This window comes from Homo sapiens, chromosome 4 (genome assembly GCF_000001405.40).
Source record: "Homo sapiens chromosome 4, GRCh38.p14 Primary Assembly".
NCBI lineage: Eukaryota > Metazoa > Chordata > Mammalia > Primates > Hominidae > Homo > Homo sapiens.
In genome coordinates, this window is record NC_000004.12 from 172,361,660 (window position 1) to 172,383,141 (window position 21,482).

Consider the following 21,482-nt stretch of genomic DNA (forward strand, 5'->3'; position numbering starts at 1 on the left):
CCTTTTTTTCATTAGTGAGTCAAAAGGGGCATAAAATGGGGGCACATTGGTTGAAGAAGAGGCCCTGGATGATGGTTCCAATCAAATAACCAATGACACAATTTACAGGACTCCCTTTTCTCATTGTCAGTGAGTGGTGGTGGTTAAATATGTTATTGGGCATCACCCTAGCTTTATATCTTGGCTTTCCCTTTACTAGCTGTGTGCTCATGAACAAGTTATATATCTTACTTGTCATGTACTCATGGGAAATTGAGTTTCTACATGTAAAGCTATTTGATCTTGGCTTGGTACAAAGTAAGCACTCAATAAATTTTGACCATTATTATTCCGGCTATAAAATTATAGAATTGAACTAGATGAGAGTTAGTAATATCTCCAACAACTTTGAGTATAAAATTTAGGCTTATAATTAATAGATTATAAAACAACTTAAAAATAATCATTTCTTTCCTTCAACCCTACTGCTTACGAATATGTGCAACACATTGGTAAGAACCTCCTTTTATACCTTTACAAAGAGCAGAGGCACTATCTTCAGAGGCCTATCTCTGGTGTCCCTGTGAATTTATAAAGTTAATTCTGAAGTTGTACAACTAGCATTTCAAAGAATGACTCAATTACAGAACCCAATGAACTCTTTATATGAGGATTTAATAATTAATTTGATAATTTAAGTAATTTATAAGTGTATTTGTTCACATTAATTAATATTATTAAACAAACTTAATTTATTTAATGTAATAATTTAATATTGGACCCTCTCTGCTTCATTTGGCATTGCTTGCATTCTTCTTATCTGGGGCATGCTTTTCTCATCGTTTCCTCTATGGGCTTTTCCTTGGGCTTCTCTTCTGCTATATTTTTCTTAAATATTGATGATCCTCAGGGTTCCACTCATTACTCACAACTCATAATTGTGCACACTATACCTGGGTGATCAGTTTTTTCATTCTGTACAACTAAACTCTTCTCATGCTTCTGACCTGAACATTCAACAAACTACTGGACATCTGGAGCTAGAAGGCACACTGATACTTCAAACTCAATGTGTCCACATGTTCTAATTTTAAATTTGAAAAGTTCACTTCCTCGCTTGATGACATCATCATCCATTGAAACTAGACACCTATGAATTGCTCTTATGATTCCTCTTTCTTCCTCACATCCCACATCCAGTCAATGAACAAATCTTGCCAAATTTACCTCCAAAGTACTTTGTAGTCATTTTTCCTTCTCATTCCATTCAACTGAGGCTTTAATTCACTTGCTTAAATTCCTGAAAGGTCCTTGTGGCTTGTTGTTCTGTTCCACTTTTGTCTAATCAAATCCATTACCAAAATAATATTTATAACAATCAAAACTGGCAGTCTTCCCTCTCTATAACTTTTTCTTATGCACAACATGTCAAAGTCCACCCTCCCTGAAGAGGCCCTTGATGAGTTCTCTAGTTCATCTTTCTCTATAGTCCATATGGCAGGTTTTGTCATGATAAAACCAAGATGCCAAATTTTGCTTCACATGGCATATATTTATCACCCCTGTGTTTTATTAAATAATGTTTTCACTATCTGAAATGTGTCTCTATAACGGTTCCCTTCTTTCTGTGTTTTTTCTTCTAACCAATCACTCAGGCTCAAAGAGAATAACATCTTCAGCCCATGTTCCCTGAAACCCTCCCACCTGCCACGTCAGGCTACGCCATTTACTGTGTGGCCTTGAACAAATTACTTAAAAAATATAAAAAAACACTCCATGACTCAGTTTCTCTCATAGTAAAAGTAGAATAATAATAATAATCTCACAGAGTGGTTGTGGGTATTAAAGAGAATGCATACAAAATGCTTACACAGTCACTTGGATACAGAAGCCCATAACAATTGTTGGTTTCTACCTTTGGAATCATTCTTCATTACTACTATAGTACCCTCAATCAATACCATTGCAATTTTCACATGATTTGACTGTGAGTTTATATCTATCTTTACTACCAATTAACTCTTTGAAGAAGGGAAGTACCTGGGTCATAGTCAGAAAATTATTATAGGTTGAACCAATGTACATATTCACCCATTTGCTCATCCCTGGAAATAGAAATTTATTTATTTATTTATTGAGAATAGAAACCTTTTACTTCTTCAAAACTAAATGTCTAAAAGTAATTTTCAGTCATTAGGAGAATTTATTTCTTCGGTTCCTTTAATTAATTAAAGTTGTTGAGAGATTCTACAAATAGAACATTTTACCACTGCACACTAATGATGTATGTCAGAAATAGTGAAGCTCAGAGAAACAAACTATACTTCTTTGCAATAATTATTTCCAAATGTTACAATCCCATCATCTGTTATGTTATTCCCACTTGAGAGAGTTTGTAAGTAATTTAAGGTGTGGTATTAATTATTTTAAACATGTTATTTGATTTTTCTGAGAAAAAAATTTCAATAAAGCAGACCTTGATAGATTTAGTAAAATTAGGACTGGGCATGGTAGCTCATGCCTGTATTTTCAGCCCTCTGTGGGGAGCCAAAGGCAGGAGGATTTTTTGAGGCCAGAAGTTGGAGTCTAGCTTGGGTAAAATAGCAAGAGTCTGTCTCAACAAAAAATTAAAAAGTTAGTCCATTCTGGTGGCACACTTGTAGTCCTAGTTACTCTGGAGGCTGTGGGAGGATGGCTTGAGCTTAGAATTTTGAGGTTACAGTGAGCTGTGATTGCATCACTGCACTTCAGCCAGGGCCACAGAGTAAGACCCTGTCTCTAAAACAAACAAATTAAACAAAAAAAAATTAGCATCAGAACCTATCTAGCACCCATGTCAGGGGAGTCTTATATTAAATGCAATAAGTATTCTATTTATTTAAATTGAAAAACCCTTTGATCACTGGGAATTTTGAATTCTAAGAGCATGAACCTACTAACATTTGAAAAAAGATAACATTTCTTCCCTTAACACTGAGTGTCAGTAGCAGAATGGCATGGGTTGGGAAGATAAATATTTATTGAACTATTTGATCCATTGTCATTTACAGAAGATTCAGAACTTTAAACAAAGAGTGTGTAGAGGAATCTGTCTCCTGCCTATCTGTCCCTAGTCAAAGTGGACCTAAAAAGATACAGTAAGAATGCTCAACTAATGGACAGAGTAAGACAGATTTGCTAGGTAGATAAATTGATGGATAGATAGATGCATAGCAGAAAAAGAATCATAGAGAATTTTTTTCTCCCCAAGCAATTTTTATTCAAGTTAAAACTGCAAATGTATGTCCTGTGTCCCCATGTAGACTATAAGTTCCATAAAGGCAAACATAGGTGCTTGTTTTTGTCACTGCTATTTCCCCAAAGACTAGAATATACAATAGTAGGATGTGTAACAGTTAAAGAGGAAAAACATGAAAAATGACTCAACAGTAAAAGACAGGTTTATTTTGGAGAATAAATCTGAGAGGGGCTTCTGGCCAATTTCAGTCAGGAGCACACTCTCTTAAAGACTAAGAGTATTTAAGGGTTTAGGGAGAGAGCATATCACAGTCTTGCAATGTTTCTGAGTGGAGGAGTTTATTGTGGGGTTAGAATGTCTGTGGTCAGAGGGGAGGTAATCTTGGGGCTGACCTCTCCCTGGTCAGAGGGGAGGTTATCTTGGGGCTGGCATGTCTCTGGTTGGGGAAGGGTTTATCTTAGAATTGGAGTGTTTCTGGTCGGAGATGTCATTTGTGGTTCATGGTCATGCTGACATTAGCCATTAGGCTGATGCCCTTTTGATTGGATTAGGCAGTTTTTTGATCAAGGGGAACTTTAAAATGGTGGTTCTTGTCCAAGATGGCGATGCTCCTGCTCTGTCAGGATGCTTAATTAATAATTAATATTTGCTAAAGAAATTAATAAATCATAGATGAAAATAAACTTTCTCTCCATTTCTGAAATCAGAGGCCATACTCCCTTAGCACTCATGACTACAAGGGACCTCAGCTTCAAGCCTTGCCTTGCTTATCTCCAGAGCCCTTCTTATAAATTCGTGAGTTTATCTCCAAACCTAATGTGGGAAATCTAAAAAAAAAAAAAAAATCAAAATGTATGTAGTGCGAGCCTCTAAGTTTTAACTTTTAAGTAAGGACAAAAGGTCCTAGAGTTCTGTTAATTTGGTAACCTTGACAAAAATCAAAGACATTTTAAGAGCTTAAAAAGCTAGGCTGACCCACCTTTAGACATCCGGTATAATCAACTTCCATTAAGATCTTTGTTATGTGCAGACCCTGTCAAAAAAAAAATGAGATAAGCCTTATATAACTGTAAAAAAGCAGCAATTCATCTGCATTCATTTTAACTTGAAACCTGATGGTAGAAGATATGAATTAGATAATTTGACAGCATGTGTTTTGGTGGTTCTTATAGCTTGTGAGAGACTTTGTAATGTTCTTTTTCCTCACTTTTTCTTACCAAAGGTCATATTCCTACATTCTGTATTACTAAAGATAATATCAAAAACTACATAGTTTTTGCAGTTTATCAAAAAATAGTTTTCTGATACATTTTTTACATAGATCTGGTTTACAGATTAAAAACAGTTCATTAGTTAAATCTGAATTTCAGAAAAAATGTTTAACTAGTTTCCCATCTTTGTATTTTCTATATCTGGCAAATGTGTATAGATCTGTATAAATACAAACTACAAAAGCAGTTCTGGCTATCTCAATGTATGTTTAGGAATGTAAATAAATAATTTCATTTGTAATCACCACATTGTCATATTTTTATTTGTCATTTTATATAAGATATATAATAATTTTATTCCTTCTCTTGGAATTAAAATGGTAGTGCCATGTCACCTTCATATGTTGCCTGACTGATTGCCAAACATAGATGAATTGAGGAGACTTATGAAAGGTCTCCTCAAATACATACTCAGTACATGAACGCTGACATCCTTGTAGTAAGATCAACGTGGGAAAAAATAACCAGCCTGTTTTTGAGTTAACAAATAGAAACAAATACCAGAGAGATCAAAGCACTACAGGTCTGTGTGAATAATCATCCTCCTCCCCTCCCCTAACCTTGATTTTTTCTCTTACAATTAAATTTATCTAAAGAAAAGACATGTCTGTCTGGTTACACTCAGATATCACTGAGTAGAGTCAGTGGAAAGAGACTGACTATTTCCTTGTCCAAAAAGAGAATGAATATAATAATGCTACCAGCATTCAGAAGTTGCTGGGAGGATGAAGAATATCACCTTTTTAGTCTGTAAACAGTTAAGCACAAAATTACTGCTAATTAATTAGGTAACATCAATTGTGTATTTTTCTTGTGGTTTCCACCAAGGAATTAGAATTAGCTTCTGAGATTTAAGTTGTAAAATTAATACCCCGTGAATCCTAGCAGGAAGGTGCAAAGCACTTTGAAAGAGTGGTGGTGGTCCCCAAACCTGTGAGATGGCATACCTGAGTGTAAGCAGATAGGCATGTCTTTTCTTTAGATAAATTTAAGTGTAAACAGACAATAAAAGTAGTGGGGAGGGAGAGTATTCACATAGGCATCACGCGTTTTGATCTCGTTGGCATTTGTTTCTGTGTTAACTCACAGATATGCTGGTTACTTTCTTCCCATGTTGGTCTTCCTACAAGGATGAAAAAGGTTGCTTATGAGGGTGGAAGCAGTTTCATTTCCATGTGTTTGCCTTCATTCATGATTAACTTGAGTCTTTTGCTGAGATCTGCTGACACATTGGGTTTCAGAAGTTGCATGGCTCAGGCATACTTTTGATACATTTACCAAGATAATGAATGCCTTCATAAGGCCCCTAGAAAGACCTTTTTTTTTGAGGTGGTACTGATAACTCCACGTAGCCAAGAACGTAATCTTGTTCTTATTTGAATTTCTGCATACAGTCTGTATTGGAAAAATTGTTTTAAACCATGTAAAAAAAAGTGTTGCTTCTATCTGGCATTGAATATAGCTTAATTAATCTCATTCACTTCTAGTTTTTGGAATATCTCAGTTCTGTCATCTATCAGAAATTAGGGTAGGAATTGTGCTAATTTTTTAATGGACATATTAATAATGCAGATAAGTTTATCATTTTGTACATCTACAAATAAAATAAAGTCCTCATGAATTAAGTTATACTATATAAAACTTACTGCACATGTTTTCTTCCAAAGAAACTTAATCTTTTGGGAGAAAAATATGTATATGTCTCATTAACATCGCTTATAAGGTTAATGTAAATTTGCTATACTCCAGACTTTTAAGCCTTAATTGGCAATACCCATAATGCTCCACAAAATGATAAATATTAGTTTTTTAATTTTTATTCAGTATTAACTGAAGACACAAAATGATACTCAAAATGTGTCACAGAAATTCTTTTGTCTTTTTATTATGAAACTTTAAAAAATACCAGGGAAATAGTATCTATAAATACTTATTACAAAAGTAGAATATTGGCCAGGCGCAGTGGCTCAGGTCTGTAATCTCAGAACTTTGGGAGGCCAAGGCAGGTGACTGATGAGATCAGGAGTTCAAAACTAGTCTAGACAACATAGTAAAACTCCGTCTCTACTAAAAATACAAAAAAATTAGCGAGGTGTGGTGGTGTGTGCCTGTAATCCCAGCTACTCGGGAGGCTGAGGCAAGAAAATTGCATGAACTTGGGAGGCAGAGGTTGCAGTGAGCTGAGATCACGCCATTGCACTCCAGCCTGGGCGACAGTGCGAGACTCCATCTCAAAACAAATAACAACAACAAAAAAAAACAAAATAATAGTAGAATGTTATCCAGAACCTTGCAACCTTGCAGTGGTTTTGCAGTACACCAATAAGTTTTCAATACCTCACATCACCTTTAAGCTCTGCTGCCCTCTCATATAAACAGGTCTAGAGATAGTTCCAACATAACAGATCACAAAGCTCATCTAAAACAGCAAGGATGTTGTCAAGTGCTGTTGTGTCCGGAATTTTTGGGTTCTTGGTCTCGCTGACTTCAAGAATGAAGCCGCGGACCCTTGCAGTGAGTGTTACAGTTCTTAAAGATGTTGTAGCCGGAGTTTGTTCCTTCAGATGTTCAGATGTGTCTGGAGTTTCTTCCCTCTGGTGGGTTCTTGGTCTCGCTGACTTCAAGAATGAAGCCGCGGACCCTTGCGGTGAGTGTTACAGTTCTTAAAGATGGTGTATCCAGACTTTGTTCCTTCAGATGTTCAGATGTGTCTGGAGTTTCTTCCTTCTGGTGGGTTCGTGGTCTCGCTGGCTTCAGGAGTGAAGCTGCAGACCTTTGCAGTGAGTATTACAGCTCATAAAGGCGGCACAGACCCAAAGAATGAGCAGCAGCAAAATTTATTGTGAAGAGCAAAAGAACAAAGCTTCCACAGTGTGGAAGGGGACCTGAGCAGGTTGCCACTGCAGGCTCAGGCAGCCTGCTCTTATTCCCTTATGTGCCCCCCCCCACATCCTGCTGATTGGTCCATTCTACAGAGAGCTGATTGGTCCATTTTACAGAGAGCTGATTGGTCTGTTTTGACAGAGTGCTGATTGGTGCATTTACAATCCTTGAGCTAGACACAGAGTGCTGACTGGTGCATTTACAATCCTCTAGCTAGGCATAAAAGTTCTCCAAGTCCCCACCAGATTAGCTAGACACAGAGTGCTCATTGGTGCGTTTACAAACCTTTAGCTAGACACAGAGTGCTGATTGGTGCATTCACAATCCTTTAGCTAGACATAAAAGTTCTCAAAGTCTCCACCCAACTCAGGAGCCCAGCTGGCTTCACCTAGTGGATCCCGTGCCAGGGCTGCGGGTGGAGCTGCCCATCAGTCCCACACTGCACTCCTCAGCCCTTGGGCGGTCGATGGGAGTGGGCGCCGCGGAGCAGGGGGTGGCACCCGTCGGGGAGGTTCAGGCTGCATGGGAGCACCCTGGGGGGCGGGGCTTGGGCATGGCGGGCTGCAGGTCCCGAGCCCTGCCCCATGGGAAGGCGGCTGAGGCCCGGTGAGAATTTGAGCGTGGCATGGGCAGGCCGGCAGTGCTGGGTTACCTGGTGCACCCTCTGCAGATGCTGGCCCAGGTGCTAAGCCCCTCACTGCCCGGGGCCGGTGGTACAGGCTGGCCACTCTGAGTGCAGATCCCACCGAGCCTGCGCCCACCTGGAACTCGCACTTGTGCACGAGCACCTCATGCAGCCCCGGTTCCCACCCACGCCTCTCCCTCCACACCTCCCCACAAGCAGAGGGAGCTGGCTCCGGCCTCGGCCAACCCAGAGAGGGGCTCCCACAGTGCAGCAGCAGGCTGACGGGCTCCTCAAGTGTGGCCAGAGTGGATGCCGAGGCCAAGGAGGCGCCGAGAGCGAGCAAGTGCTGCTAGCATGTTGTCACCTCTCAATCCTGCCTCTAAACAGGACACCCCAACTGCTGTTGGGAATTTGGCCGATGACCACTCTAGCTACTTCCTTCTGGATAGGGGTGAAGAAGGGGCCCTGCAGTTGTAGTGTCCTCCAGAGGAGAGCTCTCTAGGCCAGTGGAAGGGCCAGTGGGTCAATCCTGAGGTCCTCAATAGAAGTTGTTAGTTGGGCTCATTTGGGGTTCCATTTGTAAGACCTTCTGTATGTAGCTTGATGGCCTCGATTCTAGCGGAAACAAATTTGACAAGAAGGTTAAAAATAGAGGGTCCAAAGGCGAGTAACAGCAAGATGGCTGCCACGGGACCTAGAAAGGGGAGAAGCCATGTTGCCCAACTCCAGAGGTTGGTATAAGAGTTTGAAAGGAGGTCAGGAGATTGAGACCATTCTGGCTAACGTGGTGAAACCCCATCTCTACTAAAAATACCAAAAAATTAGCCAGGCTAATTTTGGTGGTGGGCGCCTGTAGTCCCAGCTACTCGGGTGGCTGAGGCAGGAGAATGGTGTGAACCCAGGAGTCAGAGCTTGCAGTGAGTCGAGATCACGCCACTGCACTCCAGCGTGGGCGACAGAGTGAGACTCCATCTCAAAAAAAAAAAAAAAAAAAAAGAGTTTGAAAGGCATTGTCTGACTTCGGAAGCCTTTTCCTATAAATGCTGGGTGGCATCTCATACTATCCGTGACTGGTTAGTGTAAAAACAACACTCTTCCCCTAAGAAGGTACAAAGTCCTCCTTTCTCAGCAGGGGGGAGGTCTAGACCTCAGCGGTTATGGAGAGTCACTGCTGCTAAGGTGTCTATTTGGGATTGTAGAGTAAGGATAGATTTCGTTATTTCTTGCAAACTGTCTGAGAAATCCTTTGAGAGTGTGTGGTAGTAGGATAATGCATGTTACACCGTTAACTTTTAGCAAACTTTACTTTAGTTGAAAACCTTGTAAGTTTGGGATTTTAATTTTTCTTTGCTATTAATAAAACCTCATTCAGTCCATATTAACTTAGAATTGGTATAAATGTCTCCTTCCTGATTCTGTAAGTACTTTAAGATTTGGCTCAGTGCAAACAGCTCACACGTTTGAGCAGACCAATTATTGGACAGTTTTCCTAAATCTGCTTCTATAAGAGTTTCCTTATCACTTACTGAATACCCATTGTGTCTTTTTTCCTAATCGCCCAAAAGGAACCATCTATTGTCCTGTCCTGAAAGGAGTTCCTCCTATGTCTGGTCGGAACTTCCTATGGTAATTAATTAAGATTTAGATCCCCTGTTAGGAAACTTCCTGGGTTAAGGACTTTTGATAGGAAGGCTATGGGTTGTCATTGGCCTCAGTGCTTTCGGGCTATGCCCTTGTTTACACTGACAACAAGGTGGTATTGTAGTGTTACAGGGTCATGGAGAAGACCGTCAATTATCAATTATAGGTTTTAAATTTACCCTGGCTTTTAAAGGAATAGGGTACACTGTTTTTTCTTTACTATTTCTCTCTCTCTTTCTTTCTCTTTGACTTCTTTGTCTCTCTTTCCTTCTTTCTCTCTGACTCCCTCTTTGTCTCTTCCTCTCTTTCCTTCTTTGACTTTCTGTCGCTCTGTCTCTTCCTCTGTCTCCTTCTCTTTGTCTCTGCTTCTTCCTCTCTCTGTCTCTTCCTCTCTCTCTCTCTCTTTGACTTTCTGTCTCTTTCTCTCTTTCCTTCTTTGACTTTGTCTCTCTCTTTCTTTCTACTGGTCTTTCCCTGCCTCTGCCAGCTGCTTATGCTGCTGTTCTCCCCTCTCCTTCCTCTTTTTGATGGCTTCAGCAGTGGAAGACTGCCACCACCTTGGGTTTTTGCACTGTGCAATAACTCCATAATTTCCTTGTGGTATTTAATGGGGGTTCCCAGCAGTTAGGAACCCCCTTTCTTTCCATATTGCAGCATGGGCATGTAGGATTAGATAAGCATACTTGCTATCTGTATACACATTTATTCTTTTTCCCTTTCCCAGTTCTAAGGCTCAGGTAAGTGCCACTAGTTCTGCTAACTGGGCGCTGGTCCCTGGGGAAAAGGGCTTATTTTCAAGTATGGTTACATCACTAACTATGGCATAACCTACCCTTCGTATCCTATTCTCCACAAATGAGCTTCCATCGGTATATAGGTTAAGGTCAGGATTAGCTAAGGGGACTTTGAAGAGATCATCTCAGGGGGCATAAGTCTGGACTATAATTTGTTGGCAGTCAGGCTTGATTGGCTCCCCATCGTCTGGGAGAAAAGTGGCAGGGTTGAGGGCCACGCATATACATATTTGAAGCACCGGTCCCTCAAGGAGTAGCACCTGGTATCTAAGTAGGCAGTTGTCTGATAGCCATAAACTTCCTTTGGCACCTAGTATGCCATTGACATTATGAGTAGTCCAGACAGTGAGATCCTTTCCTTGTATTATTTTGATAGCCTCTGACACTAAGATGGCCACCGCCACAACTACCCGTAAAACAGTGAGGCCAGCCTTTTGCTACTACATCAATTTCCTTACTTAGGTATGCCACTGGTTGTGGGGTTGTCACACGAGTCTGAGTATGGACTCCAAGAGCTATCCCTGCTGTCTCTGTGATGTAGAAAGAAAAGTTTTGTCCTGTCAGAAGGCTTAAAGCAAAGCTGAAGTTTGAACTAGGGCCTGCTTTAAGGTTTTGAAGGCTGTTTCTGCCTCTGGTTCCCATTCTACTAGATGAGTATTTGCTCTCTGGGTCTCCTTGATTAGAGTATAGAGGGGCCTGGCTATCTCGCTGTATCCGGGGATCCATAGTCGGCAAAAGCTGTTGATTCCAAGGAACACCTGCAACTGTTTTAATGTCTTAGGGCAAGGATAAGCCAGTATAGGCTGTATTCATTCCTTGCTGAGGGCCCTGGTCCCTCTGGCTAAGATTAGGCCTAGATATTTCACCTGCTGCAGGCAAAGCTGGGCTTTCGACCTACACACCTTGTACCCTTGATCGGCTAGAAAGTTCAAGAGTTCTAGAGTACCCTGCTGGCATGAGGCTTCCGAACTGGTAGCCAAGAGCAAATCATCCACATACTGAAGGACCAGAGTGCCTGGACTTGAGAAGTGGCCTAGATCTTGGGCCAGTGCCTGACCAAACAGGTGAGGGCTATCCCTAAACCCTTGGGGCAAGACTGTGCACATAAGTTGGGACGTGTGGTCTGTGGGATCCTCAAAGGCAAAGAGAAACTGGGAGTCAGAGTGCAGGGGAATACAGAAGAAGGCATCCTTGAGGTCCAGAACAGTGAATCATTCTGCTTCCTCTGGTATTTGAGAGAGCAGGGAATAGGGGTTGGGTACAACTGGATATAGAGGAGTTACTGCCTCATTGGTGAGTCTAAGATCTTGCACTAGTCTCCACTGACCGTCGGTTTTTGTACTTCTAGAATTGGGGTGTTGCAGGGACTGCTGCATTTCCTTACTAAGCCTTGAGCTTTTAAATGTTTAACAATATCCTGTAAACCTTTATGAGCTTCAGGCCTTAAGGGATATTGCCTTTGATAAGGAAAAGAGGTGGGGTCTTTTAGCCTGATTTGGACTGGGTGGGCATTTTTTGCCCTTCCAATGCACAGACTTCAGGGTTGATTCCCTCTTCAAGTAGGGGACAACAAATGGGTAACTTGTCCCCTATATTCATGTAGATAATAGCTCCACCTAATATATCTCTACCTAATAAGGGTGTGGGACTTTCAGGCATAACAAGAAAGGCATGTGAAAAGAGCAAAGTCTCCCAATTACAACTGAGGAGGTGGGAGAAATACCTGGTTACAGGCTGTCCCAGGATTCCTTGGATGGTAATGGACCTTGAGGACAGTCGACCAGGACAGGAGATTAACACTGAGAAGGCCGCGCCAGTGTCCAGGAGGAAGTCAATTTCCTGACCCTAAGTGGTTAAACATAGCCAGGGCTCAGTGAGGGTGATGACATGAGCTGGCGCTTGCCCTGGGCACCCTCATTCCTGTTGTTGGATCGTCTGGCTGGGGGCTTCTGATCCAGAGAATCTTCGTTCTCTGGAGCAGTGCACCTTCCAGTGATTGCCTCGGCATAGTGGACATGGACGATGGGGCAGCTTGTTTCTCATTGGACAATCTTTTTTAAAGTGTCCTTGTAAACCACACTGATAACAAGCCCTACTGGGTGATTAGCCTGCTCCATTTTCTGTCCTCTCTGAACCACCAAGGTTTCTTTGTCTGAGGGCCATGACTAAGGCTGCGGCCTTTCTCTGATCTCGCTTTTCCTTTTGGGCCTGTTCCTCTTGGTTCCTATTTTAGAACACCGAGGTTGACAGGTTTAATAATGCCTCCAAATTTTGTTCAGGGCCCAGGGCTTGCTTTTGGAGCTTTCTCCTGATATCTGCAGCTGATTGGGTAATAAACTTATCTTTTAGAATCAATTGACCCTTGAGTGAGTTGGGTGACAGGGGAGTATATTTTCTTAAGGCCTCCCATAGCTGCTCGAGGAAAGCAGAAGGACTTTCTTCCTTTCCCTGAGTTATGGTAGACATCATTGAGTAATTCATGGGCTTTTTCCTAATTCTCCTTAGTCCTTCTAGAACACAGGTCAACAGATGTTTATGACTCCGGTCCCTGTGATCTGAGTCGAGGTCTTAGTGGGGATCCATACTGGGGATGGCTTGTTGACCAGTAGAGAATTTATTCTTTTCTTCAGCTGTCATTCTATCATTTACTTTACTAAGATACCAGGTATCTCCAAACTCTCAAGCTGCAGCTAAAGCTGCATTCTTTTCATTAGAGGCCAGGGTTTGATCTAACAGTAGCATGACATCTCTCCAAGCGAGGTTGAAGGTTTGCCCTAGACCATGTAGGATATCTATGTACCTATCAGGATCATCTGAAAACTTCCCCAGGTCTGCCTTGATCTGCTTTAAATCAGAGAGGGAGAAGGGGACATGTACCTGGGTTGGGCCAAATTCCCCTCCCCCTATAGCTTGAAGAGGACATAACCGATAGCCTGGGGGGTTAGTGGTCCTTTGGAGATTTCTTTGCTTATTTCCTTCTGGGCAGGGGAGATTAGAGGAGGATTATCATTAATAGGAAGGGGAGCTATAGGGATGCTAGGATATGGGGATAAGCTGAGAGGTCCTCCTGTGGGATGTAAATTGCAAGCTTTGCATAGTTGTGTATTCTCCCTCAATGAAAAGAAAGCTTGGACATAAGGCATTTCACTCTATTTGCCTTCCCTCTTACAGAAAAGGTCAAGCTGCAGGATAGTGTTGTAACTTGTACTTCCCTTAGGTGGCCATTTTTCCCCATCAGAGAGAGAATATTGGGGCCAAGCCATAGTGCAGAAAAAAATGAGCCGCCTCTTTCTCAGGGTTTGTGGGTCAAATTGGTCCCAATAGCTTTGGATGCATTTCAAGGGTGAGCCTCTTGATGCCTGAGTGTTTCCCATCTGAAAGACAAAAATGCCCCCAGTTTTGGTTTGTTTGTTTCTACCCTTGCCCAAGAACCCACAACAGTCCCTGGACCCTGCTGATAGAATAGTTGCACTCACCAACACAGCAGCAGAAACAACCCCTACCCAAGAACCTGCAATGGTCCCTGGACCCTGCTGATCGGAATAGTTGCACTCACTGACGCAGCAGCAGAAACACTAGTTTTCACCTTAGACCACAAAGAGAACCAAGGAAGGTCAGATTTAGTGGCCCTTACTGATGCATTCTTGAAAACCTGCACTCTTGCCTGTCCTCCTAGACCACAAAGAGGACCAAGAAAAATCGGGTTTAGTGGCCCTTACCAACGCATTCTCAAAAACCTGTTAGAGTCCTAGGCATTCACCTGTTAGTATTGGGACTTTACCCGTGTCCTATAAAGATGTTATGCCCCAAAAATGAAGTGGAGGGCCATACCCTGAGGGAGGGAAGGGATCTCCAGAGTTGGAAGAGTGATGCCCTTTGTCCTCACTTACATGAATAGGAAGGATACAATTTCTGAGGCTACCCATATCCTACCTTCAGGAATAGCTTTTGTTAGGCCTGCTTGTCTGAGGAGGGATCCTAAAATTCCAGGTAGTCTCCCCTACAACAGGGCTTTGGGCAAAAATTGTGTCCTTCTGATTAGTGAGCCCAGGTGCCTAAAGAAGATAACAGAATCCTGGAGTTTATACTAGAAATCATTCTTACAGGAGAAAATAGAAAATCACCAGAGACAGGGAGTGATTTTTAGAAGAGGGACTAGCCTCAGAGAAGAGAGGTGAGAGGAAGTTTTGTCTGGCAGGCATTAGGACCCAGGAGTCAAGGGTCAGGGTAGATAGAATAGATGGGCTAGTCTTGCTTGGGTGACATGCCTTTGAGAGTTCTGCTCATGGCCGCATGGTCAACCAACTTGTTGTCGGCACCCCGGAGCTGAATGGCTTTCCTCTCTGTCGACCCTCGACTCAGCCCAGGAAAACAGGAAAAGTGGAAGCTGGTTCCAGGCAAACCAACGCTCCCAACTCCGAAGAGTCAGGGGTTGTTAGACAGCCCTTTCTCAGAAAGCCTGACACCTGTGTCTTCAGTCTGGCAGCCACGCTAGTCGCTTTTAACTGTGCCTGGTATTTAGCCCCTGAATTCTAAGAAAAAATAGGACAGAATAGCAAGCAAAAGGGGTCCGATGGTACTCACCGCTTGGCGATAGGTGATGGTCTCACCGCTTGGTGACAGGCAGTTGTCTCACCGCTTGGCGATAGGCAATAGTCTCTTCGTGGTTGCCAAAATGTATCTGGAATTGGTGTGTTCTTGGTCTCACTGACTTCAAGAATGAAGCCGCAGACCCTCGTGATAAGTATTACAGTTCTTAAAGATGGTGTGTCTGGAGTTTGTTCCTTCAGATGTTCAGATGTGTTGTTTCTTCCTTCTGTTGGGTTCATGGTCTCGCTGGCTTCAGGAGTGAAGCTGGAGACCTTCGTGGTGAGTGTTACAGCTCATAAAGGCAGCGCAGACCAAAAGGGTGAGCAGCAGCAAGATTTATTGTGAAGAGCGAAAGAACAAAGCTTCCACAGTGTGGAAGGGGACCCAAGTGGGTTGCCACTGCTGGCTCGGGCAGCCTGCGTTTATTCCCTTATCTGGCCCCAAACACATCCTGTTGATTGGTCCATTTTACGGAGAGCTGATTGGTCCATTTTACAGAGAGCTAGTTGGTCTGTTTTATAGAGAGCTGATTGGTATGTTTTGACAGAGTGCTGATTGGTGCGTTTACAATCCCTGAGCTAGACACAGAGTGCTGATTGATGCATTTACAATCCTCTAGCTAGACATAAAAGTTCTCCAGGTCCCCACCAGATTAGCTAGATACAGAGTGCTGATTGGTGTGTTTACAAACCTTTAGCTAGACACAGAGTGCTGATTGGTGCGTTCACAATCCTTTAGCTAGACATAAAAGTTCTCCAAGTCCCCACCTGACTCAGGAGCCCAGCTGGCTTCGCCTAGCAGATCCCGTGCTGGGGCCATGGGCGGAGCTGCCCACCAGTCCCACTCAGTGCGCCCGCAGTCCTCAGCCCTTGGGCAGTCGATGGGACTGGGTGCCGTGGAGCAGGGGCCGGTGCCCATCAGGGAGGCTCGGGCCACACGGGAGCCCACCGGTTGTGGGGGAGCTCGGTCATGGTGGGCTGCAGGTCCCAAGCCCTGCCCCACAGGGAGGCAGCTGAGGCCTGGCAAGAATTCTAGTGCGGCACGGGTAGGCTGGCAGTGCTGGGGTACCTGGTGCACCCTCCGCAGACGCTGGCCCAGGTGCTAAGCCCCTCACTGCCCAGGGCTGGCTGCACAGGCTGGCCGCTCTGAGTGCGGGGCCTGCTGAGCCCACACCCACCCAGAATTCACGCTGGCCCGCGAGCGCTGCACGCAGCACCAGATCCCCCCCCCCATGCCTCTTCCTCCACACCTCCCCACAAGCAGAGGGAGCTGGCTCTGGCCTCGGCCAGCCCAGAGAGGGGCTTCCACAGTGCAGCGGCAGGCTGAAGGGCTCCTCAAGCATGGCCAGAGTGGATGCTGAGGCCGCTAAGCAGGCACCAAGAGCGAGTGAGGGCTGCCAGCACGTTGTCACCTCTCACTGTGACTATCATACTTTTCCAGTCACCTTTAACCAAAAGAGCCGCCCGAGTTATCTGCTATATGATATTCTGATACAGAGTTCTAATATTGAAGTTATAGTTCTTAAATAAGTCCTTGTTGCGTGTGAAAGCAACACTTGGCAGTTCCAGAGCCTGAGTAGAATCCTCAGGAATAGACCCTGATGCTTGAAAGCAGGGAAGCCGATTCAAGGAAAAAGGACCTTGCTTCAGCCTCTATTTCCATGTTCAGGAAATGAAATATAATAACATTACCAGCATCAGAAAGGTTGCTGGGAAGGTGAAAAGATATTACTTGTTTAATCTGGAAACAGTTAAGCACAAAATTAATGTTAATTAATTCGATAACACTAATTGTGTATTTATCTTAAAAATACAGGAAACTAAACACGTGATTATTGAAATACCAGTGATTTGATGGAATTCGAATTAACCATACTTTGAGATAAATTAGAAAGATGTTTGGTTTTGTTGTTTTTTAAAAAAAATTGATATATATTCAGATGAATAAAGATTATTATAATTTATAGTTACTACTCTAGAAGTTTTTTTATCCTAGAACTTTAATGCTGAGTAATATCATAAATTATTAATAATATACAATGTGAAGAAATATAGTGTATATACCTTGATTTATAACATGTATCCATTATAAGCCAAAATTTTTGAGAAATATATTTTTGAGAGACTGTACATTAAAAACTGGATGAGATTGATTATATTTTATTTTTATGAAAATGATTATAGAAGTTAATTTTATTAAGTGTTTTATGTTCAAGATTTTATGTAAATCCTTTCAATATTCAACACCAGAAGGAATAAGTCTAAGATATATATTATTCTGGTAGAATTTAGTCTTTTAGTTTATTTTCATTTTCATTTATTTTTATAACAAAAAACATTTTACTAAAACATAAGACTTACAGAAGTTTCCAGACAAGCCATACAAAATGGTCACAAGCTTTTTCTGAAGGGGAGAATCTATACTTGACAGCAAAGTCACAGTGTTATTATTGAGAGCTGTGATGTTTGTTTAATGTTCCCATTCTGGTTCAAACAATCAAGCTTGTCCATCTACAGCATCTAAATAAAGTTAGACTTGGCTAGGGAACATATTCTAAAGAACAGGTTAGGCCGGGCGCGGTGGCTCACGCCTGTAATCCCAGCACTTTGGGAGGCCGAGGCGGGTGGATCATGAGGTCAGGAGATCGAGACCATCCTGGCTAACAAGGTGAAACCCCGTCTCTACTAACAATACAAAAAATTAGCCGGGCACGGTGGCGGGCGCCTGTAGTCCCAGCTACTTGGGAGGCTGAGGCAGGAGAATGGCGTGAACCCGGGAAGCGGAGCTTGCAGTGAGCCGAGATTGCGCCACTGCAGTCCGCAGTCCGGCCTGGGCGACAGAGCGAGACTCCGTCTCAAAAAAAAAAAAAAAAAAAAAGAACGGGTTAGCTGCTTTTAATCAATGCAATTAGATCACCAAAAAAAGGTGGGAAAGGAGCTCATAAATTAAAATAAAACTACCTCCCCCCTGAAAAAAATAAAATAAAATAAAATAAAATAAAATAAATAAAAACACCCACGCCCCTGGAGCTAACCTGACAACTACCTTCATTCACAGTGCTTTACACTTAAACCAGGCTTGGGGAAATGAATAAAAGCAGAGAGGGGCCACTGCTTTTAAACGTTTCCCAACAGTCCAGACGATACTTCTAGCCTCTGCTCATACTTTTTGACAGTGAATCAGAACAAAACATAGATTTGCTAATGTGCATTTAATCACCAAAGGACTGAAGAAGTCTGGGCTTTTATTCTGTAGTGTTTCTAAGACCTTGTCCATTAAATGTAAACCAAAAGAAAGAAGTCTTGGCAGAACAGGAGAAGTGATGCATACTTGATGATCGGATCAATTTAAATATTATTCATGGCATATAGCCTAGTCCCTGCTCTAGCTGTTTATATGGCTTGGGCTTCGTTGGTGTTTCCACTGCTCCTCTGCATCATTTGCTAATGGATCATCTGGATTTGGAGCACTTAACAAGGCCTGGATCCGTAGCAGAACTGTGCGGATCTGCAGGGCTGGGGACCACTTACCTTTCAAAATATCTTAACGTATTCTCCCCAACTTGTCTACATTAGGATGACAAATTTTGGTCATAAAACGCACTTTAGGGGCTGCCATTGGGTATTCTTCTGGAAGAAATAGTCCAAGTTTAAAAGTCCCTCCCTCACAGTGGGAATCCCAGGGACTGGCAATGACCACATGAAAATAATGGATGTTGCTCTCATATGGTTCTGCTTTGAGGCCAGGAACTGGTTCTGCCAGCAAAAGCTGGGTTTCCTTGACGATCCTGCTGGGCAGCCCAGCCATCTTGTCAGGTCCTGAGTTGGGTCTCTGGTCTCTAACTTCTAGTTTATATATCCTTGTTTTCAATGTACAAAGATGTACACTTTAGTAGGGAAAGAAAGAACGATTGTCACTGTTTAATATGCATCAATTAACATAAGTAATCTATTTTAATGGTATTTCAGAACCACAAAGAAGAACTCTTTCCTTAAAGCTTTAAAAATGTAATTGAAATCTGAAAACATATTCCATATAATTTACCACGAAAGAGAAGAGACACTCTACTACAGTCATATTCAATTGTTTTGTTTTGTTTATTACAATAGACATTTAGAACATCTTATCCTTAAAGTAATTTCAGTTGTTTTGCTGATTTTCAGCTTGTCAGATTGTTTATTCCTTTTCCTTTTTGCAATAGAATGATAATGAGAATAAATTTTGTACTGTGTGAAAATAAATTTATTTTTATAACAGTTAAATTAAAGAGATAATCTGATAAATCTGAATGTTATTTTAACAGTTTGTGCTCCTGTCATACTTTGAACTGTAAATTTTATTCAGCTGCCCTCTATCAGGCAAGCTTTATGAATTCCTGCAATTTGCTGAAGGCATTGTAACAAAACAATAGAGTGAGGTGGAATAAACCTTTAAAAATTCCTGTGAAGATTATACTTACTTTTTATTATTTGTTATTTTCTGTCAGAATTTTGGACAAAGAAGTTAAGACCTATGCTTTGGATGAAACAAATGATTATTTCCTTTAAAGCTATTTCCTTTTTACTTTTTGTAATGAAAGGCTTATTGGTATATAATTCACCTAGCATGAAATTGACCATATTAAAGTGTACAATTCAGTGGTTTTTAGAATATTGATGGAATTGTGCAACCATCATCACTATCCAATCTTATAATAGTTTCATCACCCCCAAAAGGAACCCCACACCCAAGAGCAGTCACTCCCATTCCTCCCTACTCCCAGTTTTCTGGTAACCAGTAATCTACCTTCTTTCTCTTCAGATTTGCCTGTTCTGGAGATTTTATATAAATAGAATAATTAAATATGTAGTCATCTGTGGCTTGCTTTTTTCCTTTATTATATTATTCTGAGGCTTGTTCATTTTGTAGCATGTATCAATATTTAATTCCTTTTTATGAGCTATAACAATAATGAAATATTATATGGATATATCACATCTGTGTTTATTGATTCATCAGTTGATGGACATTTAGATTGTTTCCACTTTTTGACTATTATCAATAATGCAAATATGAACATTGATGTGTCAGTGATTATAAAGACAGATATGTTTATTCCACTTGAGTGTATACTTAGGAGTCAAATTGCTGCAGTGTATGGTATGAAGAAAATCATTTTATTTATGATAGCACAAAAAACAATGTGTAATATTTTGAGGACCTGCCAAACAACTTTGCAAAATGGCTGCTTCATTTTAAAACCAGAAATTTATGAGAATTTTCATTTTTTTCCATGTCTTCATCTACACTGGATATTTTGTTTGTTTGAGATGGAGTTTCGCTCTTGTTGCCCAGGCTGGAGTGCAATGGCACGATCTTGGCTCACTGCAACTTCCACCTCCTGGGTTCAAGCAATTCTCCTGCCTCAGGCTCCCAAGTAGCTGGGACTACAGGCCAATCACCATGCCTGGCTAATTTTTGGAGTTTTAGTAGAGACAGGGGTTTCACCATTTTGGCAAGGCTGGTCTGGAGCTCCTAACTTCAGGTGATCCACCTGCCTTGGCCTCCCAAAGTGCTGGGATTACAAGAGTGAGCCACCACGCCCAGCCAATATTGTCTTTTTTTTTTTTTAAGTTTGGTTATTCTATTAGGTGTGAGGTAGTATTTCATTGAGGTTTTGATTTATATTTACCTAATGAATAATGATGTTGAGCATCGTTTTATGTACTTGTCAGTCTTTTGTCTTTCTTGGGAGAAATATGTACTCCAGCCTTTTGCCTATTTTTTAATTTCTTCTTTCATTGTTGAGTTGTAATAAATCTTAATATATTCTGAGTGCAAGTAATGTATCAAATATATAATTTGTAAGCATATTCTTCTATTGTGTGCATTGTTTCTTCATTTCTTTATGTGTCCTTTGATACACTAATTTTAAAATTTTGATAAAGTTCAATTTCCTAGATGTTTTTGTCTCATACTTTTGGTGTTATGTCTAAAAAACCATTGCTTAACAAAACGTCATGCAAAGTTTCCCGTATGTTCTCTCTTCTAAAAGTTTTGTAATTTTGGCTTTTACACTTAGATTTAAATCCAATTTAGGTTCATTTTTGCCTATTGTGTGAAATAGGGGGTCCAAATAAATTCTTTGCCTGAAGAACTTTGAAAAGACTATTCTTTTCAACCCATAATTGGGTTGAAAAGGCAATTGTGAAGACTATTTTCACACAATTTTTAAAGGACTGTTTTTTCCCCATTAAATATTTTTGGAATTCAAATCTAAAATCAAACGATCATAAATGTAAGCTATATTTCTGGATGCTCAATTCTATTTATTTGTCTGTTCTTATGTAGTACACACTGTATTATTATAGTTCTGTAATAAATCTCATTATCAGGAAGTATTAATCTTCCAACTTTGATATTCTTTTTAAGTGTTACTTTGACTATTCTGGAGCCATTACATTCTCATGTATATTTTAGGA

At 41.3% G+C, this 21,482-nt stretch overlaps 1 protein-coding gene and 1 pseudogene across 4 annotated transcripts in view; one reads left to right on the forward strand and one right to left on the reverse strand.

The window, feature by feature from the left end:
- Positions 1 to 21,482, forward strand: part of GALNTL6 (polypeptide N-acetylgalactosaminyltransferase like 6) — a 1,228,156-nt gene that overhangs the window by 548,256 nt on the left and 658,418 nt on the right. The window lies entirely within an intron of this gene.
- Positions 18,172 to 18,860, reverse strand: LOC100506133 (ubiquitin conjugating enzyme E2 N pseudogene; annotated as a pseudogene).